The sequence below is a fragment of the Homo sapiens genome, chromosome 9, assembly GCF_000001405.40.
Source record: "Homo sapiens chromosome 9, GRCh38.p14 Primary Assembly".
Lineage (NCBI taxonomy): Eukaryota > Metazoa > Chordata > Mammalia > Primates > Hominidae > Homo > Homo sapiens.
In genome coordinates this window covers 665,051-686,728 of record NC_000009.12, presented here as the reverse complement: position 1 = coordinate 686,728, position 21,678 = coordinate 665,051, and the positions used below count along the sequence as shown (strand labels likewise).

The 21,678-nt window shown below is 39.3% G+C and overlaps 1 protein-coding gene and 1 long non-coding RNA gene across 51 annotated transcripts in view, besides 3 other annotated features; one reads left to right on the top strand and one right to left on the bottom strand.

The window, feature by feature from the left end:
• KANK1 (KN motif and ankyrin repeat domains 1) overlaps positions 1-21,678 on the bottom strand; it is a 275,809-nt gene that overhangs the window by 59,375 nt on the left and 194,756 nt on the right. For 44 of the 50 annotated variants that reach the window (XM_047423041.1, XM_047423067.1, XM_047423060.1 and 41 more), the window contains one exon: positions 9,720-9,839. In XM_047423041.1, coding sequence (XP_047278997.1) covers positions 9,720-9,756 — 37 coding nt within the window. In that variant the 5' untranslated portion in view covers positions 9,757-9,839. Of the gene's footprint in view, positions 1-3,607; positions 3,684-9,686; positions 9,840-21,678 lie in introns of those variants that run through there. The other 6 variants (XM_047423074.1, XM_047423076.1, XM_047423075.1 and 3 more) reach the window with 2 other exon arrangements.
• KANK1-AS1 (KANK1 antisense RNA 1) lies at positions 1,174-13,251 on the top strand. Its single transcript, NR_198989.1, has 3 exons — positions 1,174-1,201; positions 5,683-5,872; positions 12,350-13,251. It is a non-coding gene; the product is annotated as a KANK1 antisense RNA 1 (long non-coding RNA).
• Positions 12,098-12,818: an enhancer, noted in NCBI's record as "OCT4-NANOG-H3K27ac hESC enhancer chr9:673911-674631 (GRCh37/hg19 assembly coordinates)". NCBI's record gives its function as "activates a minimal SCP1, AML or CMV promoter by ChIP-STARR-seq in naive and primed H9 embryonic stem cells {active_cell/tissue: H9 hESC(naive and primed)}" and the evidence as "EXISTENCE:reporter gene assay evidence [ECO:0000049][PMID:30033119]".
• Positions 14,714-15,214: an enhancer, noted in NCBI's record as "H3K4me1 hESC enhancer chr9:671515-672015 (GRCh37/hg19 assembly coordinates)". NCBI's record gives its function as "activates a minimal SCP1, AML or CMV promoter by ChIP-STARR-seq in naive H9 embryonic stem cells {active_cell/tissue: H9 hESC(naive)}" and the evidence as "EXISTENCE:reporter gene assay evidence [ECO:0000049][PMID:30033119]".
• Positions 15,215-15,715: an enhancer, noted in NCBI's record as "H3K4me1 hESC enhancer chr9:671014-671514 (GRCh37/hg19 assembly coordinates)". NCBI's record gives its function as "activates a minimal SCP1, AML or CMV promoter by ChIP-STARR-seq in naive H9 embryonic stem cells {active_cell/tissue: H9 hESC(naive)}" and the evidence as "EXISTENCE:reporter gene assay evidence [ECO:0000049][PMID:30033119]".

Genomic DNA, 21,678 nt, shown 5'->3' with positions numbered 1-21,678 from the left:
ATTGCACTTATGACGTGATGCTGCCATTTCCCCTCACACTGCCAAACAGTTGTCCCTGGGGCAGACTTGGAAGCTGTATAAAGTGTGGTGCTAATGGAAAAATCTGGTGGCAAAGGGCATCACAGTGTTTTGCAATTAATTTTTTTTTCCTGTAAGCTGCATTGTTGAAATGGTTTGACATGCAAACCATCCCTCCCTCCCCGACCAGTGTACAGACTTCCAGGTCTCCACCCTAGCGTGTTCTAAAAATCAGTGTATCATCAGGCTGATTCACCACTTGAAGAGGTGGGGCACCGGTTGGGGTACATGCTGCATAAGCTCAGCAGGTACTTCTGCCTCCTCTGCCAGGTCACAAGAAGACAAACCAGTCTTTGTCCTCACAGCTGAGGGGGAACATGCCAAACGGGTTGCCCCAAAAAACATATTCGTGGTGCGTCCCTGAGTTGAATAAAGCATCCCAGTCAATCCACCTAAAAATGCTGAGGGAAAAATAAATAAATCGGCTGCACCGTGTTGGGTAGACAGACTTACATGAGGGGGATACTGAGAACAGAGGAAGAGAGAACTTTTTTCTGGTTTTAGTTAGAAAAAAGTAAGAGCTGATGCACATGAGTAGGGTTTTTAAGATATTAAGCACTGGGCATATAAGTTACTGGAAATACCCCATCTCTCTCTTTGATGTTTTCAGTTTGGAATATTCTTCCCCCTTTCTTCCTGGAGAGTCTTAAATGTACCTGCTGTACAGAAACACTTCAAACGCCTTGGCCTAATGGACAGTGGATGCAAATGGAAAAGGCACTCAGTAAACTGGGCAGGGATGGGAAAATTGGGCAGGACAAGCTGAATCAATGTTTTCACAAAATTATTTGCAAAGCTGATGGATGGGATTTATCAACTAAACCAAATATTGTGAGACTAAATTCAGAAAGCCACACAGCTATCTTTTGATTCTGCCTAACAGAGATCATGTCCAAAGTAGAAAAGATCCCTGAGAGAAAACTTTTCCAATGGAATAAAATCATGAAAAAGGAACTAAAATAAACTCAGTACTAGTAACTATTAGTAGCAAACTGTTCCCATAAATGGTTACTCTAGTACTACCTCCTTTAAGTAAAGGTTTGTATGGTGAAATTCCAATTCCACAACCTCTGATCCAGTTGGGAGGGAAATCAGGGATCAGGCAAATCTGGCCATAAACAAGGTAAGAGTACAAAGATTTAACTTTCAGGATACGAACAAATCCTACAAATCCAACAATTTGTCCCTTAGCACAGCTCTCCCTTATGTCTATAGTTCTGTTTTTCTATCTGTTGATTAGAGTGGCCTTCTCTCATTTTTATAGAATATTGTTTAATCTGAGTTTCAGCCATGGCTTGCTTTAACTAGGGTAAGAAATCTGGTCACTATATATATTTTTAAATCTCAAAATAGCAGCGTACTTATTTTTAAGTGGTGAGATAACTCATCGTATAGAACTACCAGCTGAGATGACTAATGCTATATGTACAAATGGGCCGCATTTCAAAAACCTGTGTTTTCCGGATTCATAATGAACTGCAGCTCAAAAGCAGAACCAGGCTTAGCCTGTAAAACATGAGCATACTTTTCCTAAAGCATGTGGAAATGAGTAACTCAGTTAAGGCTCACTCCAAAAATATCCAACAGAGAAGCCAAGGAAGGAAAAAGAAAAGAGTCTGCTTTTGGTTTTTGAACTTAGAATTTCTACAACTGTTTGAATGAATCTTATAAAATCTGATTTCCTGGATGGGTCTCCTTAAAGGTTTTATTAGAGAAGTCTACCCAATGCAATTAATTTTTTTTTTTGGTCAGGAAAGAGCAAGAACTTATCGTTTCTGTGAATTTGAGAATTATGATAATATTTTTCATGCCAGATCAAATCAAACCACCTTTTATAGAAAAGGAGCCAAAGCGGTGACTGTGAGCTTTAGTCACGATCATTTTCCTCTAAGCCCATACAAACCTTTCTCAGAAACTGCACAAAGGAGATGAACTGAAATTATCCCAGACACAGGAAGAAGGCAAACCCTGGAAAAGGAAGCAAATGAGCTATACCTTTGATGGGCTCAGCTAGCCCACCCAACTCATTCAAGAAAGAGGGGAAGTGCATAATCAGAAATAAATGCCAATACTCACAACGAGAAGTCTGCTGAGGAAGAGCAGAGCACAGAGTTTTCAAATCCTTGTAGGAAGGGCTGTTTTAACCCTTTGACTGGCTACCCAGTCTCTTAGAATAATAGCAACAGCTCGAGTTCTTAACACAGCGAATCTCCCTGTTGGGTGTTTATTTTGTATGTGTTTTTTTCTTTCTTTCTTGTTGGCACCTATAAAGTTGGTACCAGGCAAAAATCCCCAACCAAAGGGTTTCTTTGCCCAGTACCCAGGAGCAGGAGCACAGATTTTTCTCCTTCCTACACTCAAATAGGCTGGTACTCACTGGAAGATAAATCATCCTTTCTTGGCTTAGCTGGAGAGCTAATCGCCTGTCTGAAATCTGATGCTTAAGCCATTATGACTGGCTCAAGGCTTGGGGCAAGAAAGCTTATAAGGCGAAGCTGGCTACAGGTTAAAACAAAGCCTTAAGAGTTTATGAAACAAGCAAGCTCTGATGAGCCAGGGGCTTTTCAAAACCTCTCCGGGGGCTGGGTGAATTCTGAGGTTCTGATTAACCACACAGGCAAGACTTCAAAACCCAGGGTGTCCCCCATTTGTAGGTGGTCCCAACATTTTAAGGGTTATGAAATTGAAATCTAAGAAGTAGTTACATTATCTTCTCAAACACCACCACTATAAGAAAATTATTTCATCTATAAATTTCAGCGTGAAATTAGCCTTCAAAAGACTAACAGCTACAGTTTCATTGAAAGTTGAAATGCATAATCTAATTAAATGCAATTATTAAACACACTAATACTAGGATGAAGCTGTATGATGCAATAAATAAAGGAATAACAATATGTTTATTAATTTGAAATAATCCATACTAAGAAAAAAAGTAACTTACCAACATAATCCCTATCAGGGAGGACGTTTTATTTTTAAACACTGTACTTTAGGGTTTTATGCAGTTTTCTGAACTACATCCTTTTCACTTGATCTGTTTAATCAGAACTTCACAGATATCACACTTCTGATTTTAAATGTCAACATAATAAATAACCTTGAACAAAGGAAAAATGTTCTCCATGTCCAACTTCTGGCTTAGTCATTAGCTGTGTGAGCTCAGCAACTTGTGTTTTGTCATCTGAGAGTATGGAAGGAAGGCTGGACAACTGAAATGGAAACACACCCTTTTAGTTCTTACCTACGTGCTTATGGCAGGCTCCTACCTATGTGTTTATGTCAGGCTCCTACCTATGTGTTTATGTTTTACCCTCTCAGCTATTCTAATAGCCTCCAACACACTACTTATGGGAGAATACAAAGCACAAATAAGAACACACATTTTAATCCTTCTGCAAATTCATTCAACCAGGAGACCCTGAAAAGTCACGGAGGGTACCCATGAATTAAAGCAGCCATAGTTTCTAATCAGCAAACTCTCTGCCTTCGGGGTAATGCTAACACAGATGACAGGTCTAAGACTCACCACCACGGGCGCACACTGCCTCTGCTGTGCTGTGTGTTTCCTTACAGATGATCTCAGAAAACACCAGGTGGGTTCTAGCCAGACCAGTCACTGCAAACTAGTCTTATACTTGACAAATAGCACGTAATTCCTGCTATCAGGTTCACCGCAGTGGGCTCAGAGTTCTGTTTGAGAAACGCTCCTGCCCAGAAAAATATTTACACAAGCGAGAGTGGGGTGCACCGCACTGCAGCATTCTGCCTACCCTGCCATGAGCCTGGCTCTGTCTGGCTGACCCGGTCTTATCAGTGGCCTTTGTACTCATTTAAGATCAGCATAGAGACAAAAGCTGGAGCCAAATAACTGACCAAGATAACGAGATTCAAGCCCCACAACAGTTACTAAAGCCATGAAAACATTGTGCCCTTTAACCCAGTCATCCTGCTTCTTTGAAATTGTTGGGAAATAATAAAAAAGGAGGAGAAAAATGACCAGGGAAGATGTTCTCTGCAACATCATCTACCATAGGGAAAATGTGGAAGCAGTCCAAACATCCAAACAAAAAAAGAATACTTCAACTGGTAGAAACACCATAAGGAATATTATACAGTCATTGAAAATAATAATTTGAAAACTATTTTCCATGAAGACTTGGAAAAATGCAAAGAATGTTAAAGTCAAGAGCTGATATCCAAATTATAAAAGCTTATTGAAACTGTGTTTAAGTTTGTTAGCCTGAAAAGCATGAAAAATAAATACTAAAAATAAGACCTAGTGTGGAATTTTGAGTAATTCTTCTCTTCTGGTTTCCTGTCAAATTTTATGTTATCATTAATTTAAATAACTTTTCTTTTTTTTTTTTTGAGACGGAGTCTCACTTTGTCATGGAGGCTGGAGTGCAGTAGCACTGTGTCGGGACACTGCAACCTTCGTCTCCCGGGTTCAAGCAATTCTCCTGCCTCAGCCTCCCGAGTAGCTGGAATTACAGGCGCCCACCACCACACCCAGCTAGTTTTTATATTTTTAGTAGAGACGGGTTTTCACCATGTTGGCCAGGCTGGTCTCGAGCTCCTGACCTCAGGTGATCCACCTGCATCGGCCTCCCAAAGTGCTGGAATTACAGGCGTAAGCCACCGTGCCCAGCCTAAATAACATTTTAATGCAATTCAATAAGCATCTTTAATAAATAAATATGTATCTGTCTGAAAAAATATATATCCAGGCTGCAAAAAAAGAAAGAGCATGAGGGAAAAGCTATAATCAATTGGGGAAGGCAACTAGTAGCAAAAATAAAGATGATAAGAGCAGGCATAAAAAGTCACCTCCCAGTGCTCATCCATTTATGTCATTTAACTGGGTTTAATGAGGATGTTAATACAACTCTGGCCCCAATATCATGGCGTCCAGCAGGGCCTGACATGAGGGTACCTGGGATGTTTCCTGATCAGCGGCTCATGACAAGGACAAGAGAACAAGGGGAATGGTGCTATCCCCTGACATATGACCAGCACTTTGTGTTTTAAAAAGTGTTTTTACAGCTATTCTTTTTTTCCCTGCACAACCACCTTGTGAAGAAGGTAGGATAGCTATTATTATCTTTCTTTCACAAATAAGCCACTTGTTATTTGGCTTCTAAAGCATATCTAAGCTCTAATTAAAGTTTCACAACATTAGTGTTTAGAGAGGTATCAATCAGTGCATTCAGTTTACAACATGATTCAGAAACTTGGGGAAAAAGCAGACTGCCTCATCCCTACACCCCAAAGAAACACAGCTATTTTCCTAACCAACAATCACCATTTACTTCCTAGCTGGCTATGAGAGAACAGTCAAGAGCAATTTATGATGCTCTTACCTCCTTAACAAAAGACGCTGCAGTACTGTTAGCAGTACCATAATAAAATGTTTTTTGTTTTTTGCTTTAGAGATAGGGTCTGGCTCTGTCACCCAGGCTGGAGTGCAGTGGTACCATCATAACTCACTGCAGCCTCAGACTACTGGGCTCAAGCAATCCTCCCACCTCAGCCTCCTGAGTAGCTGGGACTACAGGTGCATACCACTATGCCTGGCTAATTTAAAAAAATTTTTTTTTGTAGAGATGGAGTCTGGCTATGTTCCCCACACCGGTCTTGAACTCCTGGCCTCAAGCAATCCTCCCTCCTCGGCCTTCCAAAGTGTTGGGATTACACGTCTGCGCCACCCCATCTGGCCTAAAATGTTTTGAATTAATGAAAACAGTACTGTACCAATCAAGAGAAGTAGGATGGAGGATCTGGTGAAAAAGAGGTAACACTACGAGGGAAGATTGATTTTGATGGGCTGGCGGTGAGGAAGGGCAGGGGTGCAATCTGCAAGGGGTACACAGGTAGGGCCGCGCACGAAAGTGGAGCACCATTAAACCGAATTTTAGATAAACGATGAACACGTGCTTAGTATTTTTTCTTCTGGCAACCGTGTACACAGGAGACTTTAACTGTCCCTAGAATGTACAATCCTTGAGGGCAGAAATTTTTGCCTCTTTGGTTCACTGCTGTATCCCCAGTACCTAAAACAGCACGTAGTAGGTGCTCATGTATATCTGGCCTATATTAATAAGGTTTATTTCTTAAGCTAAGTAGTGTGTACAAAGGTGCTTGTTATATAACTTTCACACATTTTGTATGTCTGAAGTGTGGCATAATACATTTTACAAATTACAGCATTAATGAATAGCTCGTTTTAAAAGCAGTTTCTTTTACCCAGCCTCCGTGAGGGACTCCAAGGGGAAGTCAGAGTATAAAAGGTTGTGAATCACCCCTTATCCCATTTAAATGTTACATGGGGATGTCAACTTGAGATGATCAGTCGTCGGATGTATTTTGTGCCAAGGGCATGGTTTGCCCTTTCCCAGAGGCTCCTCTTTTGCTTGTTTTATTACTAACACTATGGAAAGTGCTTCTTTTGCCACTGCCCTGACTCCATCGTCACATGAAATTTCCCCTCATGCTCTATGAAGCCCAAGCAGCAATTTTTGGAAATTGAAGAAACATATAATTTACTCCACATCTGAAACTCCTACTAAACCCAAATAGCTTATCCTTTTCTCATAGGAGACCAGTAATTGGCCCTCACTAGCTGCCATGAAGCCCTCTTTATCTCATCTTCATCTAGGTTCTCTAAATGTTATTTACATGCACAGAAGTGTATTTATAACCCGCATCTCTTACATTGAGTATTTTTTTAAACATTGGAGAGGTGTTTCCTTTGTAATACAAAGTGGGAAAAGGTAAAGGAATGATTTTTATTAACATATTCTCAACCATGTGAAATATATAACATTTGACAACTATATAAAAAATAGGAAGACATTTATTTCTAGGTGGTATTATCACCAGTAATTCTTGCTTTTGTTTTGGTTTTCAGACAATACAACACACATCTATACTTTTAAATTTTCAGCTGGGTGCGGTGGCTCATGCCTGTAATCCCAAAGTGCCGAGGTAGGCAGATCACCTGAAGTCATGAGTTCAACCCCAGCCTGGTTAACATGGTGAAACCTCATCTCTACTAAAAATACAAAAATTGGCCAGGCGTGATGGCATGGGCCTGTAATCCCAGCTGCGTGGGAGGCTGAGGCACAAGAATCACTTGAACCCAGGAGGCAGAGGTTGCAGTGAGCCGATATCGTGCCACTGCACTCCAGCCTGGGTGACAGAGCAAGACTCCATCTCAAAAAAAAATTTTTTTTTTCTATGAGTGTCATATATATGGTGTACACACATTTGTGTTTGTATATACATATATGTATGTATATATTACTATGTGTGTATATACATATACAGACACATACACACATATATGTATGTTTGCATATATATTACTGTTTATGGTTGAGTCTCTAATTAGATTTGCTTATAGATGTACATGGGTCATGGTGACTAGAATAAGTAAAAAATCTTCCCCTGCACAGTCCAGATAACTGTCTGCAGTAACAATTCATACTCTGACACCCTGAAAGTCACAAATCGGAGAGCTTTCTTTTGCCTTCAACCTCAATGCCCAGACCTGTTAGGCAGGATACCAGGTGGGAAGGAAAAGTTACAGCTTGCTTATTAGATCTCAGGAACAAAGAAAAAAGGTAAGTACAGAACAAACCAAGTTGGAAAGGAATTAGTGGGGTAGGTATCTAAACCCATGAAGAAAGGATTTTGCCCAAGGCACCAGAAGAAGGTTGAGGTCTTGAGGCACCAACAATCTTAAACACCCCTTCCCCTGAGCATGTGAATGGAAGCAAATGGAGGGCAAGGGAGGAAACCACATCATCAGAGGGAATTAAAACCCACCCACTACACTTGAAATTTCATAATGTTTCAATCTCCTCTCTCACCAAATATTTTACTGGAGAAAGTCATCATAATTCTGATTTATTTTATTTTTTGATATGGAGTCTCACTCTGTCACTCAGGCTGGAGGGCAGTAGTGCAATCTGGGCCCACTGCAACCTCTGCCTCCCAGGTTCCAGCCATTCCTGTCTTAGCCTCCTAAGTAGCTGGGATTACAGGCATGCGCCACCATGCCTGGCTAATTTTTGTATTTTTGTAGAGATGGGGTTTCGTCATGTTGGCCAGGCTGGTCTTGAACTACCGACCTTGGGTGATCCATCCCCCTCGGCCTCCCAAAATGCTGGGATTACAGGTGTGAGCCACTGCCCATAATTCTGATTTTTCTTACTTCATTTACAGTAAGTCCCTGAACTTCTCTGTGACATTACATAGGGATGATGATGACAGTAAAATAATAGCTTAATCTCATTAGATTATTGTGAGGATTAAGTATGAAAATGCAGGCAAAGCATTTTAGGCACCATGGTGCATTTAAGTGTTCAATGAATGTTAGATATTATCATTCATGTCTTTATTATTGATAGCAGTCCCACAGCAGAATCTATAAAAGTCTCAAGAAGCTGGGCAGTAAAAAAGGTCAAAAATGGAATGGACAGGGAAAGATCAGTCATCCCAGAACAAATAACTGAGTTTATCTGGGTTTGGGTTATAGTGTTCTACCCAGAGGAGATAATTGCAGCTGAGACCGCTAGAATAAAAAGTCACATTCATGGGCTGGGAATGCCCACTTTAGAGGTCACTTCCTGCTGTTGTCTTCAAAAGTGCTTTACGGCTTACATAGCTCCTCTAAGTATGTTTCTGGTGCGCTCACTGGTCCTAAACCGGCAGGTGGATATACTTACCGATGGTTTACATGTGGAGAAATAGCCCTGCCCAATATTTCACGGTTAGTGCTGGAACTAGGACTCAAATTCAGGTTTCCTGGCTCCAATTCTACACTTGCTCCAGTATATAATGTTGTCATTTGAAGGTGTTCAGAGCCAGCAGACGTAGGAGTCTGGACTCAGACGCTCAGAAAAAATTTCTGCATAGACAATTACTATTCTTACTCATTCAGCTATTTGGCACATAACTCAAAAAAGAAATGAACACTTGGCACGCCATTTTGGGCAGGTTGTCCCTATGGTGATGTGTCTCTTAGGAGGATCTTCTCTGCATTTCGTGTACAGATTTCTCCCGAATCTCACAGAAGCAATATTGGAACAGAAAGTGAAACTATGTAAGTCTCTAATATAACCAAAATAAGAATTCAAATACAGGTCTTTATGATTCATAATATGGCTTGTTGCATATTCCTAAGAGAATCATTTTACAGAATATATACTTCTCTTCCCTCCTTTCTCTTTGTTTAGCAACATCAAACAAAAGCTGCTTGGGAGTGGCTACTAGGAATTGGTTTTAAGCATCCAAACTAATTTCCTCTCTCCTCATTCAATCCCTCAGAAAGAAGTGCAAGAGGAGTATACATTACATTTGCATCAGCATTCAGTATTTACATTTGTCTTTCAACACTTCAACAGAATTGACTTAGGTAATAATTTACTCAATTGATTTCAGTGCAAGACTCTAAGATAAAAGCAAATTTTCTGAGAGTAAAACAAAACAAACCCAAACTTCAATGGACAGAAAATTGCTTTGAAATCCTAGTTATCTAGGCAACTTGCTATTATCCGTTCATTATTAAAGAGAATAAAAAATTAGTTTGAGAAAAGACATACATTTAACACACAAACTCCAGAGCACAGGGTTACCTGAGGCACTGCCGTTAACCTTTGTGGTGTGAGCCATGCTGGCTTGAGTCCAATGAGAGATCCAGAAAGGAGTGAGGAGTCATGCAAATTTTATGCATCAAGTTCTCAAAGGCATTCAACCTGAAACAATAAAGAGAGCCCCATCAAAATGGATCATTTAAAAAATGTACAAACTAAATCTTAGACTTCTGTTTACAAAGATGACTGCTAACAGAGAAAGGAAATCGGAATGGGGGGAGAAAGACTATAGATCCAGGAGGTGACTGCATTGGACCTGGCAGTATGGAGATAACACCCACGGATGTACCAGTGGCTACATACTGAAAGGGGGTCTCTACACATAATAATCTATGGGAAACAAAATTGGTTCTCTAGAAATGAGACTATTTTAGGAAAGTGGTCACCAAATACAAATGACTTCCTAATGTGTAGCACTCTACGAAATATTTTTGGTTTTTAAGCATATCTTCCTTTCCAAATTCTGGTTCAAAAAGTTCATTTATTCAACTGCAATTTCAAAGCAATTATTGCACCAAATGTTTACATTTTTAAAAAGATTAACTTCATGGAAATTCTTTTGAGATATCCGAAGTCTTTCTACCAACGCCTCTTTCTTACATGCAACCACCTTTCTAAAGCACAAATCTGATCCAGTCAGTCCTCCTCCTCTTAAACAAAAATTCATTATCTCCCACTGTGCCGTTGGATAAACTTCAAATTATTAGAGGCATTCGGACCAGAGCAACTCCATCTTGAGTAGGGGCTAGATAAAATAAGGCTGAGACCTTTATTTTAAGTCTAAATTCCCAGGAGGTTAGGCATTCTTAGTCACAGGATGAGACAGGTCAGCACAAGATACAGGTCACAAAGACCTTGCTGATAAAACAGGTTGTGGTAAAGAAGCCGTCCAAAACCCACCAAAACCAAGATGGAGATGAAAGTGATCTCTGGTCATTCTCACTGCTCATTATATGCTAATTATAATGCATTAGCATGCTAAAAAACATTCCCACCAGCAGCAGGACAGTTTACAAATGCCATGGCAATGTCAGGAAGTTATCCTATATGGTCTAAAAAGGGGAGGACCCCTCACTTCCAGGAACTACCCACCCCTTTCCTGCAAAACACAAGAATAATCCACCTCTTGTTTAGCATCAAGAAGTAACTGTGTGTATAATCAGTTGAGCAGCCTACGCTCCTGCTCTGCCTATGGAGTAGCCATTCTTTATTCCTTTATTTTCTTAATAAACTTGCTTTTACTTTACTCTATGGATTCACCTCTAATTCCTTCTTGTGAGAGATCCAAGATCTTGGGGTCTGGATTAAGACCCCTTTCCAGTAACAAAATGATAGAGCATGGCACATAGTTCTGAAACACCGGGGTCCACATTGGGCAATATATTCATTTTGCATTGATATTTCTATTTAAAAGTTACCTGAGATTACCATAATAAGACTTATATTTCAATCACAAAATTTAAAACAAAAAAAGAAAAAAAAATACAAAAAAGTATACTGTTTCCCCTTTGGTTTTTGCAAATACCTTTCGAAAAATACTAGCAAACAGTAAACAACAGTACATATAGAAATCCCATTTCCATTGTGCCCAAACTCTGACTCTAGACCCATGAAATCAGAAGAAGTTGGGAGAAATAAATTCTAAGTTGAGAATTAAAGTGTCAATTCAGAAACCCACATGACCTCTTAACAACAGAATGCCAAAATAATATCTGTATACACTAATTCTAATGCAGCCATTGAAATCATATAAGTTTTTAATAAGGCAAAATATTCAAAGTATGTTGGTTAAAAGAAAAACAAAACTGTATACTATCCTAAACCTAATTTTATTAAAAATATGTATGTGTATATGTACACATTTAAACGATGAGAAGTAATTGTACCAAAATGTTCACTGTGGTGGTTGCCTCTGGGTGATGAAATCATGGATTTTAGCTCTTTTCTTACTTTTGTAATAATAATCATTATTAAAAATAAATATTTAGGCCAGGTGCGGTGGCTCACACCTGTAATCCCAGCACTGTGGGAGGCTGACGCAGGCAGATCACCTGAGGTCAGGAGTTTGAGACCAGCCTGGCCAACATGGCAAAACCTCTTCTCTACTAAAAAATACAAAAATTAGCCAAGGCTGGTGGTGCACGCCTGTAATCCCAGCTACTCGGGAGGCTGAGGCACCAGAACCACTTGAACCTGGGAGACGGAGATTGCAGTGAGCTGAGATTGCACCACTGCACCCCAGCCTGGGCGACAGAACGAGACTGTCTCAAAAAACAAAACTAAAAATTTAGACCCCTTCTGTCTTATTTGCTTTAAAACCCTCAGGGAAAAGAAAAGGTATTTTTTTAAATGCTATTCAAAAAAGGAAACTATCAGGCTACAATCATGAAGATTATAAGGGGTCAGAAATATAAGTAAATAAAAAGGAAAGAAAAGGAAATGGCTGATTGCTTTGATCACACAGGGTGAGAATTTCTTGCCACTTAGTGAAATTTCCCTCATTGTTTAAATGGGTTTGCACCACAGTTCAAAGCTAACTACTGTGAAAGCAACTCAGTGTAAATTCAAAAGGACCCTTTTTTCTCTCTCTCTTTTTTTTTTTTTTTAAACAGATTGCTTCTGACAAGCCTGCCCGCTGCGTGGCTTTTCCAGCTACACTGACTAGCATTGTGTTCACCTGGAGAGAGGAGATTCTAAACCATCCACTCCCTGCTGATCCTTAGTTTCTGGCTGGTGACACACCAGAAGGATAGGATGGCTCCAATCTCCCTGATGAAGGGGTAATCACCTGACTTTCTCTTGGAAACAGAGGCACTGGTTCAGGTCCACAACATTGAACTTGGAGAGCAATAACCTCTGTGTGCACAGTCACTGCTGGCTGAATCAAAAGGCAGGCATTAGGGATAAACACTGTCTTTTAAGAATAGGAGTGAATGTCTATACATTTCTGACAAACGCAGTTTTATTTAAACAAAAAAAAAAGTGGAGACTGGGAAGACCAGAGAGGGAGGGGCAAATGAAGGGGCAAAGGAAAGAAGCCCAGTTTCTGGAATTATTCAACTAAGTATGCTTTTAAAAGCTAACAACCACAAAACCCTAAGCCAAACCCTGTTTACTGGCCCCTTGCTAGCCTTGTGTGTTTGCACTCTTGCTCCATAACGGCTTGTAAATACCACCATGTAAAACCTTGAAGGCAAACAGAAGACAAGAAGGGACAAGCTGCATGTGCTAGGGGTGAATGAAGTATGTGTCAAGGTATTTGGATGGAGATGTGCCCAGAATCTTCCTAGTCAAGCTTAATAAACTTTGGCCCAAGGTCCTCTCCTGTTATTGAAACTCTTTCATCTGGCAGAAGATCTTTTTCTCAGATCCAAATTGGTGCCTCCCACCCTTCCCCAAACTGAACAATAAAACCAAAATAAGGAGGAAGCCTAAAATTAGGAACTGTAAGCATATCACTGGTAAAATAACAAGACACTGTTGGCCGGGCACGGTGGCTCACGCCTATAATCCCAGCACTTTGGGAGGCCGAGGTGGGTGGATCACTTGAGGCCAGGAGTTCAAGACCAGGCTGGCCAACATGGCAAAATCCCATCTCTACTACAACTACAAAAATTAGCTGGGTAGGGTGGTACACGCCTGTGATCCCAGCTACTTGGGAGGCTGAGGCACAAGAATCACTTGAACAGGGAGGCAGAGGTTGCGGTGAGCCGAGATCACGCCACTGCATTCCAGCCTGCACAGCAGAGTGAGAGACCCTGTCTCAAAAAAAAAAAAAAAAAAAAAAAAAAGAAGACACTGTCACTGGGTGTGAATCCTGGCAGTGTCTGTGCAAAGAGAACAGTTGTATATTGTGTATTGATTTTTCTCAGTTATTATTCATGCTGACAGGCGGCCTCAAATTGTGAGTGCTCATTCTTCTTAATGCTATGCAGATTCTTATGTCGGTGCATTGTATAAACCAGAAAAGGTTTGGCCACAGTCCATTCCTGTGTTACAGATCAATAAATTGCTTCTTTTCTCCCTCAGAGGACAGTGCAAACCAGTAAATCTTAAGTGGTACAATGGTGGCTTAGTTCTCCTAGCTAAGAAAGAAACCACTCCTGCGAAACGATTTAGGAAAATACATCAACAGAGAAAATAAAGAATTTGTCTTTGTGTCTATTTATTTCGGGAGACTGAAGGATGCTGATGCATGTTTTAGTAGATCGCCAAGTAAGGTACAATGAATGACGGAAACATTGCATGAGCTGACCCCATAAATACTTTACATTAGCTAAAATGATACAAATATGAAAAACAGCACACTAGAACTTTGATAAAAATACACCAATGCAAACAAGTAGTTAGATAAAATTGAGATTTGATATATACTCTAGCACTGCTAAACTATCAAATGCCACTATCTCAGTTAGAAACAAGATAATGCTGATGATAATATTGATGGTAATGTTGATGGCAGCTAATGTTAATAGACCTCTTACTATTAGTTATTGAAATATAAAATGTCACCCAAAGTGTAACATTAAGTACTACTAATAAAAAAGATGTCACTAAATGATAAAATGCTTATTAAGAAATTACATTCATTATAAGACACATCCTCATTTCAGAGGCCATATGAGAAAAATGCATACCTTACCACTGATGCAATTGTTACATTCAAGGGACTTTTAAAAACACTTAACAGTTATTACCTTGTTTAAACTTCACAACAACCCTACAAAGTACTACCCCTTCTCTCCATTGTATACATAAGAAACAAGCACAGGGAGTTTTAGAACTTGCTCACATCACACAGCTAGTATGACAGTGCTGACATTTAAAGCTGAGCAATTCAGCCCTAGGGCTCTTGTGATTATGTGATTTAGAGTAAGGGCACTATTGTTTTAACAAATGAGAACTTAGGGCATAAATGAGTGATGCATATACGTAAGGTAGACACCTTAGTTACCTATATGCTTACTGCAAGGAGGCTTTGCGCAAATCCTTTTTAGATAAGAAAGCTGCATCTCGGAATTTTATGTAATTTTTTTTCTTTTTTGAGACGGAGTCTTGCTCTGTAGCCCAGGCTGGAGTGCAGTGGCGCGATCTCAGCTCACTGCAACCTCCGCCTCCCAGGTTCAGGTGATTCTCCTGCCTCAGCCTCCCAAGCAGCTGGGATTACAGGTGTGTACCACCATGCCCAGCTAATTTTTGCATTTTTAGTAGAGATGGGGTTTCACCATGTTGGCCAGGCTGGTATAATATGTTTTTAGAGCAACTGTATTTGCAACCTTATTCCTTGGAGTAACACATTTAAGAGCCTGAAGTACTTACATGAGACACACAGGAAATGCTTCTCAGTACTTAACCAGTACACTCTTTTTTTTTTTTGAGACGGAGTTTCGCTCTGTCACCCAGGCTGGAGCACAGTGGCGCCATCTCGGCACGCTGCAAGCTCCGCCTCCCGGGTTCACGCCATTCTCCTGCCTCAGCCTCCACCACGTCCAGCTAATTTTTGTATTTTCAGTAGAGATGCGGTTTCACCGTGTTAGCCAGGATGGTCTTGATCTCCTGACCTTGTGATCTGCATGCCTCGGCCTCCCAAAGGGCTGGGATTACAGGTGTGAGCCACCGCGCCCGGCCCCAGTACACTCTTTTCTAGACTGCACAGAATTACTAGAGCAGGCTTGATTATCAACCTTGTTCTTTATATGAATGTCAACTGTTTCAAAAAATCAAATACTTCCAAAACTGAAAAACAAAAAACAAACAAAAAAAAAACTCCACCAGGTAGAAGGTTCTAAATGCAATGGTAGGAATTTCAAAAATGCATAAAAACTAAGGCAGGATACTGGAATCAGATTCTTGCCACTCAAAATAAGAATTATACTTTAAAAATGTAGATGAAAGCTGGCTTCACTTCTCCCCACAGAATAACCAAAATAAATATACACCATCGAGATTATCACCAGCAATCTCTCAGAACTCATGAAAGAGAATCGGTCAGTTCCTGGGGCCACTGAGAAGTAAAAAAAAAAAAAAAAAAAAAAAAAAAAACTCCAGCAGACAGTAAGAGAATCAGATTTTCATATCTGTGACACCCTTCCCCCAATCTGCTTGGTATCAAGCACATGTAAAACTTCCCCCAACTCAGATTCTACACTGGAAAAAGTGAGATTAAGTTGGACACACAACTTGCCTACCATCTTGGCTTCTTTGGCAGGAGACCTATCCATGCCTCAACCCATGAGAAGCATCAGGAGTGCCTGAAGGGAGATACCACCCTGTGGACAGCCGGACACAAAGGAAGGAGGCAGGATTACCATCTCCAGCCCTGGAAGCTCCGCTCTGTAACTCAACCAAAGGAGACGCCAAATCAGAGTGGGTGTTCGGCAGCACTATGCTGTAGGAGGTAGATTCCACAGGTCTCTTGGGCATGAACTCCTAGCCAGCCTTTCCATACCACAGGGATAGCTCCTTTGCAACCTCCCCCATTCCAGCCAGGCAATCCTCTGATCCTTTGCTAGAAGAACAGAGGCAAACCTGGGTTTTAAGTACCATTTAGTGCTGAAAAAGAGGCAGTGACCTAGCGGGAAAAATGTGTAAGAAATTCAACAGCTAAATTACAAATAATCTCTAAGCAAACATACCAGTAAAAACCAAAACAGACTAGACAGAGAAGATTGGAATAAATAATAAATCCTTTAATGCAAAGACACAGACATATATCCATAAGAACATGGAACCATGACCTCCCCAAATGTATAAAGCAAGGAACCAGTGACTGACCCTAATGAGATGGTGATTCATGAGCTCTCTGACCAAGAATTCAAAATAGCAGTTTCACAGAAACTCAGGGATCTCCAAGACAACAAAGAAAAGCAATTCAGAAACTTATCAGAGGAATTTAACAGAGATTGAAGTGATAAAAAATCAAACGAATCTTGAAATTGAAAAATATATTTGCTAACTGAAAAATTTATTGGAGGCTCTCAACAGCAGAATGCATCAAGCAGAGGAAAGAATCAGTCAGCCCAAAGACAGGCTCTTTGAAATTACATAGAGGAGAAAAAGTAAAATGAATGGAAATATATTATACAAAGATTGCCTACAAGATATAGAAAATTACCTTAAAAGACCAAATCTAAGAATTATTGGTGTTCAAGAGAAAGTTGAGCAAGAGTGAGGGGTAGAAAAAAGCTTACTCAATAAATAATAACAGAAAACTTTCCAAAATATGAGAAAAATATCCAGGTAGAGGAAGGTCAGAAAACACTAAACAGATTTGACCCAAATAAAACTACACCCAAGGCATATAATAATAAAACTCTCAAAGGTCAAGGACAAAAAGAGGATACTAAAAGCAGCAAGAAAAAAGGAGGATATAACATACAAAGAAACTCCACTTCAGTTGGCAACACACTTCTCAATGGAAACCGTAAGTCAGGAGGAAGTGGAATGATATTTTCAAAGTGCTGAAAGAAAAAACCCCAAAAAACCCTGCTATCCTCAAATACTTTATCCAGCAAACAGCAGAAATATCCTTCAAGTATGAAGGAGAGATAGTCTTTTTCTGACAAACAAAAGCTAAGAGAATTTACCACTACTAGATCTGTCTTACAAGAAATGTTAAAGATGGTTCTTCAATCTGAAATGAAAAAACATTAATGTGCAAAAAGAAAACATTTGAAGGTATAAAACCTACAGGTAACATCAAGTATAGAAACCCCCAGAATATTCAAATACTCTAATTGTCATGTGCAGTCCACCCATAAGTTACCCATAATTCTAGTATGACACCTAGAAGACAAATCTATCAAAAACCCTAACAGCTACAGCAATCTGTTAAGAGATAGGCAATATCAAAATACGTAAATTCAGGCCCACAAAAGTCAAAATGTCAGGGGATGGAATTAAAGATGGAGGGTTGTTTTAAAGTTTTTTATTTATTCTTTTTTTTGTGATCTAAGACAGGGATCTCCAACTCCTGAGCCATGGACCAGTACTGGTCCGTCGCATGTTAGGAACCAGGTCACACAGCACTGCCTGCTCCACCTCCTGTCAGATCATTAGCAGCATAGATTCTCATAAGAGTGCAAACCCTATTGTGAACTGCAAGTGCGAAGGATCTAGGTTGAGCGTTCCTTATGAGGATCTAATGCCTGATGATCTGAGGTAGAACAGTTTCATCCCAAAACCATCCCCACTGCCTGATCTATGGAAAAAATGTCTTCCATGAAACTGGTCCCTGGCGCCAAAACAGACTGGGGACTGCTTATCTAAGATAAGCTGTCATCTCTTTAAAATAACTTGTTTTATCTATAAGATGTTTTCTATAAGCCTCATGGTAACCACAATGTAAAAACCTATGATAAACACACTAAAAAAAACCCCAACAAATTAAAACATAGTACCAGAGAAAGTCACTTAACCATAAAGGATGACAGGAAGAAAGGAGGAGAAGAGTTACAAAACAACCAGAAAACAAGAAACAAAACGGTAATTCTCCATTCAGAAATTTATCAGAGAAATTTAACAAAGAGACATTATTCAAAAAATCAAACAGAAATCTTAGAACTGATTAATACATTTGATGGACTGAAATTCAGCTCCCAAGTATATAAAGCAAACATTAATAGATACAAAGAGAGAGAGAGATTATAATACAATAATAGTGGAGGACGTCAAATACCCCATTTTCACCAATGAACAGATCATCTAGACAGAAAATTAACAAAGAAACCATTGTATCAAACTACACATCAGACCAAATAGGTCCAACTGATATTTATAAAACACACTTCACTCAACTATTCAGAATACACGTTTCATCAGTACATGGAACATTCCCCAGAATAAACCATATTTTAGGCCACAAAACAAGTCTCAACAAATTTTTAAAAGTAGAAATCATATCAAGTATCCTTTCTGACCACAATGGAATAAAACTAGATATCAATAACAAGAGGAATTTTGGGCTAGGTGTGGTGGCTCATGCCTGTAATCCCAGTACTTTGGGAGGCTGAGGTGGGTGGATCATCTGATGTCAGGAGTTCGGGACCAGCCTGACTAACATGGCAAAACCCTGTCTCATTAAAAATACAAAAATTAGCTGGGTGTGGTGGTGTACACCTGTAATCCCAGCTACTTGGGAGGCTGAGGCAGGAGAATCACTTGAACCCAGGAGGTGGAGGTTGCAGATTGCACCACTGCACTCCAGCCTGGATGACAGAGGGAGACTCCATCTCAAAAAAAAAAACAAAACAAAAAAACCTTTGGAAATTAAACAAAAACATGGAAATTAAACAACATGCTCCTGAATAAACAATGAGTTGATGAAGAAATAAGAACATTTAAAAATTTCTCAAAACAAATAAAAATAGAAACACAACATATCCAAATCTATGGGATACAGTAAACACAGTACTAAGAGGGAGGTTTATAGCAATAAACATCTACATCAAAAAAGTTGAAAGACTACCAAAAGACAACCTAATAATGGACTAATAATGGAGCATCTCAAGGAACTAGAAAAGCAAGACCAAGCCAAACCCAAATTTACTAGGAGAAAGGAAATAATAAAGATCAGAGCAAAAATAAATGAAATTGAGATTAAAACATTACTGAAGATCAACAAAACAAAAGTTTAGTTAAAAAAAAACTGACAAAACTTTAGCAAGACTAACTAAAAAGAGAGGACCCAAATAAATAAAATCAGAAACAAAAAAGATACAAAACAACAGAGACCATAGGAGTACAAAGAATCATTAGAGACAATTGCCAACAAATTGAAAAATCTAGAAGACAAAGATACATTCCTGGACATATACAACCAAAATTGAACCACGAAGAAAGAGAAAACCTCGACAAACCAATAGCAAGTAATAAGATCAAAGCTATAATTAAAACTCTCCTATCAAAGAAAAGTCGAGGATCTGATTAATTCTATTAAACATTTCAAGAAGAACTATAATAATTCTACTCAAAGTCTTCAAAAAAAAAAAAATTGAAGAGGAAGGAATGCTCAAACTCATCCGGCAAGGCGGGCATTACCCTGATACCAAAACCAGATAAGGCCACCAAAAAAAAAAAAAAAAAAAAAAAAGACAACAATAGGCTAATTTCACTGATGAACACAGATAGAAAAATCCTCAACAAAAAATATTAACAAACTGAATTCAGCAAGATATTAAAAAGATCATTCAACATTATCAAGTGGGATTCACCCCAGGGATGCAAAGATGGTTCAGCATATGCAAATCAGTAAATGTGATACACATTAACAGAACCAAGAACAAAAACCATATGATCATTTCAATAAGTGCTGAAAAGTATTCAATAAAATTCAATATCCCTTTTGATAAAAACCCTCAACAAACCGGGTACAGAGGAAACATACCTCAAAATAATAAAGGCCATATATGATAAATCCACAGCCAACATCATACCAAACAGGGAAAACCTAAAAGGCTTTCCACTAAGATCTGGAACAAGACAAGGGGGTGCACTTTCACTACTTTCATTCAACATAAAGCGGAAGTCCTGGCCAGTTAGTCAAGAAAAAAAAATAAAGGTGTTCATATTGGAAAGAAAGAAGTCAAATTCGCTTTGAATGTAAACGACAGGATCTTCTATTTTTAAAAACCAAAAAACTATTAGAAGTAATAAGTGAATTCAGTAAAGCTGCAGGATACAAAGCCAACATACAAAATTCAGTAGCATTTATATATACCAATAGTGAACAATCTGAAAAAGAAAGAAAGTAATCTAATTTATTGTATCTACACAGAATGTAAAATACCCAGGAATATTTTGTTTTTTTTTTTGAGACAGGGTTTTGCTCTGTCACCCAGGTTTGCACTCTGTCACCAATGCAGTGAGCACTGCAGTCTTGATTTCTTGGTCTCAAGCGATCCTCTGACTTCAGCCTCCCAAGTAGCTGCAACCACAGGCACATGCCACCACGTCTGGCTAATATTTTGATTTTTTTTTAGAGATGAGGTCACACTATGCTGCCCAGGCTGGCCTCAAACTCCTGGGCTCAAGCAATTCTCCCGCTTTGGCCTCTCGAAGTGTTGGGATTGCAGGTGTCAGCCACTGTGCCTGGCCCCTGAGAATCAATTTAACCAAAGCTGTGAAAGATCTTTACAAGGATCACTATAAAAAACTGATTAAATAAATAGAAGATGAATCAAAAAATGGAGAAGATATTATTCCATGCTCATGGATTGAAAGAATATTGTTAAAATGACAATCCTACCCAAAGCAGTTTACTGATTCAATGTAATCCCTATCAAAATACCAACAATATTCCCCATAGAAACAGAGCAGACAATCCTAAATTTTATATGGAACCACAAATAACCAAAGCAATCTTGAGCAAAAAGAGCAAAGCTGGAGGCCTCACACTACTTGACTTAAAAATATACTACAAGGCTATAGTAGCCAGATCAGCACGGTACTGGCATAAAAAACAGACACAAACACCGACTGAACAGAATAGTGAACCCAGATATAAATCCATGCCATTTGCAGCCAACTAATTTTTGACAGAGGTGCCAACAATATGCAACAGGGAAAGGACAGTCTCTTCAATAAATGGCACTGGGAAAACTGGACAACTGTATGTAGAAGAATGAAACTAGACCTCTATCTCTCACCATGTACAAATATCAAATACAAATGGATTTAGACTTAAATCTAACACCTGAAATTATAAAACTAATAAAAGAAAACATTGGGGAAATGCTCCAGGACATTGGTCTGGGCAAAAATTTTTTGTTTAAGTTCTCAAAAGCATAGGCAACAAAAACGAAAATGGACAAATGGGATTACATCAAGCTGAAAAGCTTCTGCACAGCAAAGGAAACACTCAAACAAGGTGAAGAAACAACCCATAGAATGAGAGAAAGTATTTGCAAACTACCCATCTGACAAGATAAATAACCAGAATATA